The 12009-nt window shown below is 44.9% G+C and overlaps 1 pseudogene, 3 gene segments (V, D, J or C) and 1 further gene; all 5 read left to right on the top strand.

The window, feature by feature from the left end:
• Positions 1-12009, top strand: part of IGH (immunoglobulin heavy locus) — a 1293408-nt gene that overhangs the window by 1002754 nt on the left and 278645 nt on the right.
• On the top strand, positions 11414-11467 carry IGHJ1P (immunoglobulin heavy joining 1P (pseudogene); annotated as a pseudogene). The gene is given in 1 exon segment: positions 11414-11467. A coding segment is annotated over 1 exon segment (54 nt).
• IGHD7-27 (immunoglobulin heavy diversity 7-27) lies at positions 11530-11540 on the top strand. The segment is given in 1 exon segment: positions 11530-11540. A coding segment is annotated over 1 exon segment (11 nt), but the record flags the coding sequence as incomplete, so codon positions are not given.
• IGHJ1 (immunoglobulin heavy joining 1) lies at positions 11633-11686 on the top strand. The segment is given in 1 exon segment: positions 11633-11686. A coding segment is annotated over 1 exon segment (54 nt), but the record flags the coding sequence as incomplete, so codon positions are not given.
• On the top strand, positions 11840-11894 carry IGHJ2 (immunoglobulin heavy joining 2). The segment is given in 1 exon segment: positions 11840-11894. A coding segment is annotated over 1 exon segment (55 nt), but the record flags the coding sequence as incomplete, so codon positions are not given.

Below are 12009 nucleotides of genomic sequence, written 5' to 3'. Positions count from 1 at the left end.
CCAGAATAAAGAGAGTTGCCAGCGGACGCCTGGTGTCCATGTGTCCAGGTGAGTTCGAGATGCGGACGGCGCTGGCCAGCCAGTCACACCCTAAGTCAATCTGCTGCATGCATTTGTCCTTGCCACAGCAGAAAACGAGAAAGCCTTTGGGCTGCAAAGCTTCACAGGCTCCTCTTCTCCCGACTCCATGGAAACAGCTACAAAGAGCAGGCCCAGTAGAGCTTAATTCATGAAAATGAGTAATAAACTTGAACTGGAACAGTATCGACTTTTTAGAAACGGCAGCAAAGTGTATAAAAAATATTCACCAGAACAATATTTCCAAACGATGAGATGAGAATTTCAGCCAAGTAATCCTCCATGGATAGAAAATAATGAAGGGATTGGATTTATGAAGGAAAATCATGGAGCTCAAATACAAGAGAAGAGAATCAAAAATGAACAGGAGGAGATAAAATATGGTTTGGCCAAAGTTACAAAATAAATTTTTTAAAAACCCTTCATCATGGCAAGTAGAAAGAGCGAGAGGAAAAACAGATCCCGTGGAAGACACAAATAGGACATGGGGAGAAAAATGAATGAGATGAAACAGAGCAGAAATAAAATTTTACGGAACTAAAGACAAGTGATCTGAACCTGCCTGGGGCCTGGGGGACCTCGCCACCCTGAAGGGAAAGAACATGCCTGGCTGGCTTTGCCACCTGCTCATTGCAGAGCCCCACAGCTTGCAACAAACATAGGCGGTAGCCAGGGAGTGGTTACAGCAGGCCTTGAGCAAGACCCAGTGTTGTGCTGACTTCAGGTCTGACCCAGCACTGTCATAGTGGTGGTGTCCATAGTGGTAGTGGGGGTGCTTGTGTCACTCCACCCCCATCTCCAGGAGGCTCAGAACAGACAGAGAGAGACTCCATTTGTTTGGGAGAAAGTAAGGGATGAGAACAAGAGTCTCTGCCTGGTAATCCAGAGAATTATTCTAGATCTTGGCCAAGATTATCAAAGCAGTACCTCTATGAGTCTTTTGGGCTTGGAGTCCCCCTAAAGCAGATATAGCTAAGATCACAACACCCAAGTCCTTTTGAATATGTGGGAAGACTTCCCAAGGACAGGAGCAAACAAACAAGCCCAGACTGCAAAAAAACAAGCCCAGACTGCAATAAACACCTCACTCTTCAATGCCCAGGCACTGAAGAACATCTCCTAGCAGCAACACCATCCAGGAAAACATGGCCTCAACCAGTGAACTAAATAAGGCACCAGGGACCAGTCTCGGAGAAATAGAGGTATGTTATCTTTCAGAGAATTCAAAGTAGCTTTGTTGAGGAAACTCAAAGAAATTCAAGATAACACAGTGAAGGAATTCAGAATCCTATCCGATAAATTTAACAGAGATTGAAGCAATTAAAAAGAATTAAGCAGAAATTATGGAGCTGAAAAATGCAATTGGCATACTGAAAAATGCATCAGAGTATTTTCATAGCCTCTTATATCAAGTAGAAGAAAGAATTAGTGAGCTTGAAAACAGGCTATTTGGAAAAGCACGATAAAAGGAGACAAAAGAGAAAAGAATAAATAACAATGAAGCATATCTACAGGATCTAGAAAATAGCCTCAAAAGGCCAAATCTAAGAATTATTAGCCTTAAAGAGGAGGTAGAGAAAGAGGGATGGAGAGTTTATTCAAAGGGATAATAACAGAAAACTTCCCAAACCTAGAGAAAGATATCAATATCCAAATGCAAGAAGGATGTAGTACACCAAGGAGATTTAATGCAAAGAAGACTACCTCAAGGCATTCAATACTCAAACTCCCATATGACAAGGACTTTAAAAAGATCCTAAAAGCAGCAAAAGAAAAGAAATGAATAAAATACTATGGAGCTCCAATATGTCTGGCAGCAGACTTTTCAGTGAAGACTTTATATGCCAGGAGAGAGTGTCATAATGGATTTAAAGTGCTGAAGGAAAAAACTTTTACCCTCGAACAGTATAGCTGGTGAAATTATCCTTCAAACATGAAGGAGAAATAATTTGTTTCCAGACAAATGTTGAGGGATTTCATGAACACCAGACCTGTCTTTTAAGAAATGCTAAAGGGAGTACTTCAATCAGAAAGAAACACGTTAGTGAACAATAAGAAATCATCTGAAGGCACAAAACTCACCGGTAATAGTAAGTACACAGAAAAACACAGAATATTATAACACTGTAACTGTGGTGTGTAAACTCCTTTTGTTTGTTTGTTTGTTTGTTTGTTTGTTTGTTTGTTTTTGTTTTTAGACGGAGTTTTGCTCCAGCCCAGGCTGGAGTGCAATGGCACAATCTCAGCTCACTGCAACTTCCACCTCCCGGGTTCAAGCAATTCTCCTGCCTCAGCCTCCCAAGTAGCTGGGATTACAGGCATGTGCTACCATGTCCAGCTAATTTTGTATTTTAGTAGAGACGGTGTTTCACCATGTTGGTCAGGCTAGCCTTATCTTGAGTAGAAAAACTAAATGATGAAGCAATGAAAAATAATAACTACAACTTTTCAAGACATAGTACAATAAGATATAAATCATAACAAAAAGTTAAAAGGTGGAGGGATGAAGTTAAGGCAAAGAGTCTTTATTAGTTTTCTTTTTACTTGTCTGTTTATGCAAACAGTGTTAAGTTGTCATCAGTTTAAAATAATGGGTCATAAGATACTATTTGCAAGCCTCATGGTAACGTCAAACCAAAAGCAATACAACAGATACACAAAAAACAAAAAGCAAGAAGCTAAATTACGTCATCAGAGAAAATCACCTTCACTAAAAGGAAGACGGAGAAAAGAATGAAGAGAGAGAAGACCAAAAGCAAATAGCAATATGGCAGGAGTAAGTCCTTACTTATCAATAATACCATTGAATGTAAATGGACTAAACTCTCCAATCAAAAGACATAGAGTGGCTGAATCAATTAAAGAAAAAACAAGACCCATTGATCTGTTGTCCACAAGAAACACACTTTATCTATAAAGACACACATAGACTGAAAACAAAGGGATGGAAAAAGATACTCCACGCCAATGGAAACCAAAGAAAGAGCAGGAGTAGCTACACTTATATCAGGCAAAATAGATTTCAAGACAAAAACTATAAGAAGAGACAAGGTCACTAATGATAAACAGGTCAATTCAGCAAGAGGATATAACAATTGTAAATATATATGCACCCAATGCTGGAGCACCCAGATATATAAAGCAAGTATTTACTAGAGCTAAAGAGAGAAATAGACTCCAATGCAATAATAGCTGGAGATTTCAACATCCCACTTTCAACATTGAACAGATCCTCCAGATAGAAAATCAACAAAGAAATATTGGACTTAATCTGCACTATCGACCAAATGGATCTAACAGATATTTACAGAACATTTCATCCAACAGCTGCAGAACACACATTCTTTTCCTCAGCACATAGATCATTCTCAAGGATAGACCATATGTTGGGTCACAAAACAAGTTTTAAAATATTCAAATACATTGAAATAATATCAAGCATCTTCTGTGACCACAATGGACTAAAACTAGAAATCAATAACAAGAGGAATTTTGGAAACTATATAAATATATGGAAATTAATGAATGCTGAGTGGGTCAATGAAGCAATTAAGAAGGAAACTGAAATTTTTCTTGGAACGAATGATCATGGAAACAGAAAATACCAAAACCTATGGGATACAGCAAAAGCAGTACTAAGAGGGAAGTTTACAGCTACAAATGCTTACATTAAAAAAGAAGAAAAACTTCAATAAAAAAACCTAACAATGCATCTTAAAGAACTAGAAAAGCAAGAGGAAATCAAATCCAAAATTAGTAGAAGAAAACAGTAAAGGTCAGAGCAGAAATAAGTAAAATTGAAATGAAGAAAACAATACAAAAGATCAATAAAACAACAGGTTGTTTTCTTGAAAAGTTAAACAAAATTGACAAACCTTTAGCCAGACTAAGAAAAAAAGACAGAAGATCCAAATAAATAAAATCAGAGATGAAAAAGGTGACATTACAACTTACACCACAGAAATTCAAAGGATCATTAGTGGCTACTATAAGCAACTATATGCCAATAAATTGGAAAATCTAGAAGAAATGCAGAAATTCCTAGACACATACAACCTCCCAAGATTAAACCAAGAAGAAATTCAAAACCTGAACAGACTGATAACAAGTAATGAGATCAAAGCCGTAATAAAAAGCCTCCCAGTAAAGAGAAGCCCAGGACCCGACGGCTTCACTGCTGAATTCTACCAAACATTTAAAGTAGAACTAATACCAATCCTACTCAAACTATTCCAAAAAATAGAGGTGGAAGGAATACTTCAAAACTCATTATACGAGGCCAGTATTAACCTGACACCAAAACTAGACAAAGACACATGAAAAAAAGAAAACTACAGGCCAATATGTCTGATGAATATTGACACAAAAATCCTCAACAAAATACTAGCAAACCAAATTCAACTACACATTAGAAAGTTCACTCATCATGACCAAGTGGAATTTATCTAACTTGGGATGCAAAGATGGTTCAACATATGCAAATCAATCAATGTGATACATCATATCAACAGAATGAACAACAAAAACCATTTGATCATTTAATTGATACTGAAAAAGCATTTGATAAAATTCAACATTCCTTCATAATAAAAATTCTCTTCTATACTAGGTACAAAAGAAACTTACCTCAACATAATAAAGCCATATATGACAGTCCCACAGTATGATACTAAATGAGGAAAAACTGAGAGCCTTTCCTCTACGATCTGGAACATGACAAAGATGCCCACTTTCATCACTGTTATTCAACATAGTACTGGAAGTCCTAGCTGGAGCGATCAGACAAGAGAAAGATATAAAAGACATCCAAATTGGAAAGGAATAAGTCAAATTATCCTCATTTGCATATGGTATGATCTTCTATTTAGAGCTAACTAAAGACTCCACCAAAAAAAGTTATTAGAACTGACGAACAAATTCAGTAAAGCTGCAGGATACAAAATCAACATACAAAAATCAGTAGCATTTCTATATGCCAACAATGACCAATGTGAAAAAGAAATTAAAAAGTAACCCTATTTACAATAACCACAAATAAACACCTAGGAATTAACCAAAGAGGTAAAAGATTTCTGTAATGAAAACTATAAAAACTGATGAAAGAAATTGAAGAGTACACCAAAAAATGGAAAGCAATTGCATGTTCATGGATTAGAAGAATCAGTGTTGTTATAATGTCCATACTATCCAAAGCAATCTACAGATTCAATGCAATCCTTATCAAAATACCAATGACATCATTCACAGAAATAGAAAAAAAAAATCCTAAAATTTACGTGGAACCACAAAGACCCAGAATAGCCAAAGCTCTCCTAAGCAAAAAGAACGAAACTGTAGGAATGACATTGCCTGTCTTCAAATTCTACTACAGAGCTATAGATAGTAACCAAAACAGCGTGGTACTAGCATAAAAACAGACACAGAGACAAACAGAACAAAATTTAAAAACCCAGAAATAAATCCACACACCTACAGCAAATTCATTTTTGACAAAGTTGCCAAGAACATACTCTGGGGAATAGATAATGATATCTCTTCAATAAATAATGTGGGGAAAACTGGATATCCATATACATAACAGTGAAACTAGACCCCTCTCTCTCTCACTATATACAAAAATCAAATCAAAATTGTTTAAGGACTTAAATCTAAGACCTCATACTATGAAACCACTGCAAGACAACCTTGGCGGAAACTCTCCAAGACATCAGTCCAGGCAAAGATTTCTTGAGTAATATCCCACAAGCACAGACAACCAAAGCAAAAATGGACAAATGGGATCACATCAAGTTAAAAAGCTTCTGCACAGTAAGGGAAACAACCAACAAAATGAAGAGACAACCCACAGAATGGGAGAAAATATTTGAAAAATACCCATCTGGCAAGGGATTAAAAACCAGAATATATGCAGAATATATAAGGAGCTCAAACAGTGCTATAGAAAAAAAAATCTAATAATCTGATTTAAAAATGGGAAAAATGTTAGAATAGACATTTCTTAAAATAAGACATACAGATGGCAAACCGACATGGAACGGTGCTCAACATCATGGATTATCACAGAAACACAATCAATCAAAACTAAAACTAAAATGTGCTATCATCTCACCCCAGTTAAAATGGCTGATATCCAGAAGACAGGCAATAACAAATGCTGGCAAGGATGTGGGGAAAAGGGAGCCCCCATACACTGTTGCTGGGATTGTAAATTAGTACAACCACTGTGGAGAGCAGCATGAAAGTTCCTCAAAAAACTGAAAGAAAGCTACCATAGGATCCAGCAATCCCACTGCTGTGTATATACTACAAAAGAAAGGAAGTCAGTATATGAAGAGGTATCTGCACTCCCATGTTTGTTGCAGCCCTGTTCACAACAGCCAAGATTTGGAAGCAACCTAAGTGTCCATCAGCAGTTGAATGTATAAAGAAAATGTGGTGCATATACACAATGGAGTATTATTCAATAATAAAAAGGAATGAGATTGAGTCATTTGCAACAACATGGATGGAACTGGAGATCATTATGTGAAGTGAAATAAGCCAGGCACAGAAAGACAAACATTACAATGTTCTTACTTATTAATGAGATCTAAAAATCAAAACAATTGCACCCATGTTCATAAAGAGTAAAAGGATGGTTACCAGATGCTGAGAACGGTGGTGGGGGGATAGGGAAAGGTGGCAGTGGTTAACGGGTACAAAAAAATAGAAAGAATGAATAAGACTTACTACTTGATAGCACAGCAAGGTGGCTATAGTCAGTAATTTAGTTGTATATTTTTAATAATGAAAGGTGTATAATTGGATTGTTTCTAACACAAAGGATAATGCTTAAGAGGATGGATACCCCATTTTCCATGATGTGATTATTTCACATTGCACGCCTAGATCAAAACATCCAATGTACCCCATAAATATATACATCTTCTATGTACCCATAAAAATTCTGTAAAATAAAATATATAAAAAGAGGTGACAGATATGGAAGACAGGCAAAGAAGAGACGACATCCACATAATCCGAGTACCTAAGAAAGAATGGAGTCCAGTGCATCTCAGGAGCCACCATTCTAAGCCAATTTTCTCTGGTTCTCTCAGTCACCCTACTAATACGTGGGCAATCTTGTTTTATTTCAGGATAGAGTTTTTGAAATTATAGATTTAAGTATGCTTTCTGTTCTATTACTTTTGGTAATTAATTTTAGAAAGAACTAATTTGGGCACAAATTTGAAAAAATTCTAAATCCAAAAAAAAAAAGAAAAAAACACACACACAATCATCTATAAGGGGGATGATGACCAGTCCTAGATTTCTCACCAGCCACATTCAAGATCAGTAAATGGTAGGACAAAACCTGTAGGGTCCTTAAGGGGGAAAGAAGTAGTGGATAGTCCAGAGTCTATATACAGCCAACTGTTCTTGAAGAAAAAAGGCTGCTGAAAAGGAGTTCCAAACATTCTATAATCCATAATCTCATGATGAAACTACTAGAGGAAGACCACCAGCCATCAAAAGGTGCTTGGAGAACCCAGGGCCAAGAACCAAAAGTAAATATTAAGTGTCCTTAACTGCGAGACTAAGATAGAAATGACTGTGGGGGACCATGTGGCCTCAACAGAGGTGAAATGGTGTCTGCCTGACAAAGTGGACATTTTACAATGATCAAAACACAGAATATGAGATAGAGAGCACTTCTGAATTACTGCCTCACTCCAAATAACTCTCAGCCAAAGGACTTCAGTAAAACCAAATTGGGCATATTAGACAGTACAAACAAATTCTAAGAAAATAATATTACTGATTACAATCACATGATGCTAGAGATGGAGGGGAAAAGGAAGAGGAAACCAGGTAATTTCATACTCGTATATAGTAAAGAACTAAAGTACATTGTCCAAAGAAGAACAAAGAATATTTTGGAAAGTTATAAAGGTAGCCACTACACATAGAAGATAGCAAAGAACAAGAAAACTTAAGATGGAAAACTTTTTGGAAGCATAAAAATAGAAAATATAAACTACTAAGATAAGATTGAAGCCAAACAGATCTATGAAAACAACAAACATCAATGGCCTTAACTTGCCTATTAAAAGGAAGAGACTTTCAAATTGGACCACAAGATAAAACCCAACTCTATATAGCATATGAGTATTACACACAAAATGGGAAAAGCTGAAAAAACTTGGGCAAAATTCACCCCAAGCAAATTCCACTGTTTCCTTTGGGACAAAATGCCAAGCTCCATGCCAGGGAAGATGATTCTCCTCAGACCTTCTCCTCACTCTCCCAGTCCTCTTAGGGAAGGAATTGGGTGTTAGAGGAGGGAGACTCTGTCGATTATCAGCTGAAGCAGTGGTGTGCTCCTGCGTTGCTTCTGACCTGGGAAATGAAGCAGCAAGACTCTTTCTGCTGTGTCTTTGCCCAGAAGGGCCATCCCCCCAGAGCAGAGTACCCAGGCCGGCAGGAGCAGTGGTGGAAGCGTGGAAACCACGTCTCCTACAGCAGAGACCATCAGAAGCGGAGCCTCGGGTATAAGGGAAACAACGCGTTCTCCCTAACCTGGGAGTGACAGACAGCGTCATTCCTCACAGTGATACCCTGTGTTCTAGCCATCTGGCCCATGACAGAGCCAGCCCAGAGCCAGCCCAGAGCCAGCCCCTCACCAACCTGGAGCCTGGCCAGCTCGCCAAGCTGCACCATAGGCCTGGAAGGCGTGGAGACCTGCGGCAGTGCCCTGTCCTCCCGTGAGGCCTGCCATCCCTGCCAGGGGTCGCCTCTGGCTTCTCCTCCAGGACCGCACGGTCCAGAGGCTCAGTGCCTGGAGTAGGTGTTGCCCCCCTGCTTCTAGGCCCAGACCCTCCCTTGTTCCTGACCCCGGGCCTTTCCCTCTGGCTTGGACATCCAGGGCCCTGTCTCAGCTGGGGAGCTGCTCCTGCTCAAGGACTGTCTTCCGCGGGATCGAAAGGCCGCGTCCTGAACAATGCGTGGGCCACGTGAGCGGAGCAGGCTCTAAAGGCCGCGTCCTAAACAGTGCGTGGGCCACGTGAGCGGAGCAGGCTCTAAAGGCCGCGTCCTAAACAGTGCGTGGGCCACGTGAGCGGAGCAGGCTCTAAAGGCCGCGTCCTAAACAGTGCGTGGGCCACGTGAGCGGAGCAGGCTCTAAAGGCCGCGTCCTAAACAGTGCGTGGGCCACGTGAGCGGAGCAGGCTCTAAAGGCCGCGTCCTAAACAGTGCGTGGGCCACGTGAGCGGAGCAGGCTCTAAAGGCCGCGTCCTAAACAGTGCGTGGGCCACGGGAGCGGAGCAGACTCTAAAGGCCGCGTCCTAAACAGTGCGTGGGCCACGTGAGCGGAGCAGGCTCTAAAGGCCGCGTCCTAAACAGTGCGTGGGCCACGTGAGCGGAGCAGGCTCTAAAGGCCGCGTCCTAAACAGTGCGTGGGCCACGTGAGCGGAGCAGGCTCTAAAGGCCGCGTCCTAAACAGTGCGTGGGCCACGTGAGCGGAGCAGGCTCTAAAGGCCGCGTCCTAAACAGTGCGTGGGCCACGGGAGCGGAGCAGACTCTAAAGGCCGCGTCCTAAACAGTGTGTGGGCCACGTGAGCGGAGCAGGCTCTAAAGGCCGCGTCCTAAACAGTGCGTGGGCCACGGGAGCGGAGCAGACTCTAAAGGCCGCGTCCTAAACAGTGTGTGGGCCACGTGAGCGGAGCGCCCTCTCCACTGCCCTCGGGGCCGCAGCTCCCAGCTCAGCTCCCAGCCCTGCTCAGGGCAGCCAGGCCAGGAGGTACCATCCAGGCTAAGTGACCCTCAGGGGGGACAGGTGCCCCAGGAGATGCCAGCTGTTGGGAGAGGCTGGGGGACCAACTCGACCTGGCCTGTGGGCCCTGCCCTGGCCACCCATTGTAGGATCCAGCCGCCACGCCTGTGACACTCGTGTGCTTTCCCTGGTGTGTGCTTGTGGCAGGTGGGGGCAGAGGGTCCTCAGGCCAGAGAGCCACTCCCCCAGCGCCAGACCACCCTCTTCCTCACTCCCCCACCTCACCCCCTCACAGGTGCCTCCCAGGCCATCAGGGCCCAACCACCCCTAAACAAATGGGTTCTCGGCCCCTCGTGGCTGGAGGTGGGTTCTCTCACCATTCCCAGCCTAAGGCTCCATCCCCATGCTGGCAGCTGTTCAACCATGTCTAGAGAGATCCACTGTCCCAGACAGCACCTCAGGGTCCCCCGTCCTGCCTGGAACCCTGTAGGAAACTCCACAAACCGCCGCCATTCTGTCCACACCCCTACAGGAGCCCCAACCCTCTCCCCACATCCAGGCTTCCCTCCCAGACCCCTCATCCCTGCCCGCACGGTGCCTGAGGGGGCCTTCTTGGGCAGCGCCTAAGCAAGCCCCCAGCACCCTTCGGCCCCTTCAAGGCACACAGGCCCCCTTTCCACCCAGCCTCAGGAAACCACCTGTGTCCTCCAACGACAGGTCCCAGCCTCCCAGCCTTTGCCTTGCCTGTTCCTCTCCCTGGAACTCTGCCCCGACACAGACCCTCCCCAGCAAGCCCGCAGGGGCACCTCCCCTGCCCCCAGACACCCTGTGCCCGTCAGTTCATCCCCAGCAGAGGCCCTCACCAGGCACACCCCCATGCTCACACCTGGCCGCAGGCCTCAGCCTCCCTGAGGGCCCCACCCAGCCCGCGTCTGGCCAGTGGTGCGTGCAAAGCCCCTCACCCAGACTCGGCGGAAGGCAGCCAGTGCAGGCCTGGGGAGGGGCTCTCCTTAGACCACCTTGCACCTTCCCTGGCACCCACCATGGGAAGAGCTGAGACTCACTGAGGACCAGCTGAGGCTCAGAGAAGGGACCCAGCACTGGTGGACACGCAGGGAGCCCACGCCAGGGCGCCGTGGTGAGTGAGGCCCAGTGCCACCCACTGAGGCCTCCCGTTCAGTGGGACGACGGTGAACAGGTGGAACCAACCAGGCAACCCCCGCCGGGCCCCACAGACGGGATCAGAGCAGGAAAGGCTTCCTGCCCCTGCAGGCCAGCGAGGAGCCCTGGCGGGGGCCATGGCCCTCCAGGCGAGGAGGCTCCCCTGGCCACCGCCACCCGGGCCTCTCTGCTGCTGGGAAAACAAGTCAGAAAGCAAGTGGATGAGAGGTGGCGTGACAGACCCAGCTTCAGATCTGCTCTAATTTACAAAAGAAAAGGAAAAACACACTTGGCAGCCTTCAGCACTCTAATGATTCTTAACAGCAGCAAATTATTGGCACAAGACTCCAGAGTGACTGGCAGGGTTGAGGGCTGGGGTCTCCCGCGTGTTTTGGGGCTAACAGCGGAAGGGAGAGCACTGGCAAAGGTGCTGGGGGCCCCTGGACCCGACCCGCCCTGGAGACCGCAGCCACATCAGCCCCCAGCCCCACAGGCCCCCTACCAGCCGCAGGGTTTTGGCTGAGCTGAGAACCACTGTGCTAACTGGGGACACAGTGATTGGCAGCTCTACAAAAACCATGCTCCCCCGGGACCCCGGGCTGTGGGTTTCTGTAGCCCCTGGCTCAGGGCTGACTCACCGTGGCTGAATACTTCCAGCACTGGGGCCAGGGCACCCTGGTCACCGTCTCCTCAGGTGAGTCTGCTGTCTGGGGATAGCGGGGAGCCAGGTGTACTGGGCCAGGCAAGGGCTTTGGCTTCAGACTTGGGGACAGGTGCTCAGCAAAGGAGGTCGGCAGGAGGGCGGAGGGTGTGTTTTTGTATGGGAGAAGCAGGAGGGCAGAGGCTGTGCTACTGGTACTTCGATCTCTGGGGCCGTGGCACCCTGGTCACTGTCTCCTCAGGTGAGTCCCACTGCAGCCCCCTCCCAGTCTTCTCTGTCCAGGCACCAGGCCAGGTATCTGGGGTCTGCAGCCGGCCTGGGTCTGGCCTGAGGCCACACCAGCTGCCATCCCTGGGGT

This window comes from Homo sapiens, chromosome 14 (assembly GCF_000001405.40).
Source record: "Homo sapiens chromosome 14, GRCh38.p14 Primary Assembly".
Lineage (NCBI taxonomy): Eukaryota > Metazoa > Chordata > Mammalia > Primates > Hominidae > Homo > Homo sapiens.
Note: the sequence above shows the minus strand (reverse complement) of the source record. Positions and strands in the feature narration are given on the sequence as shown.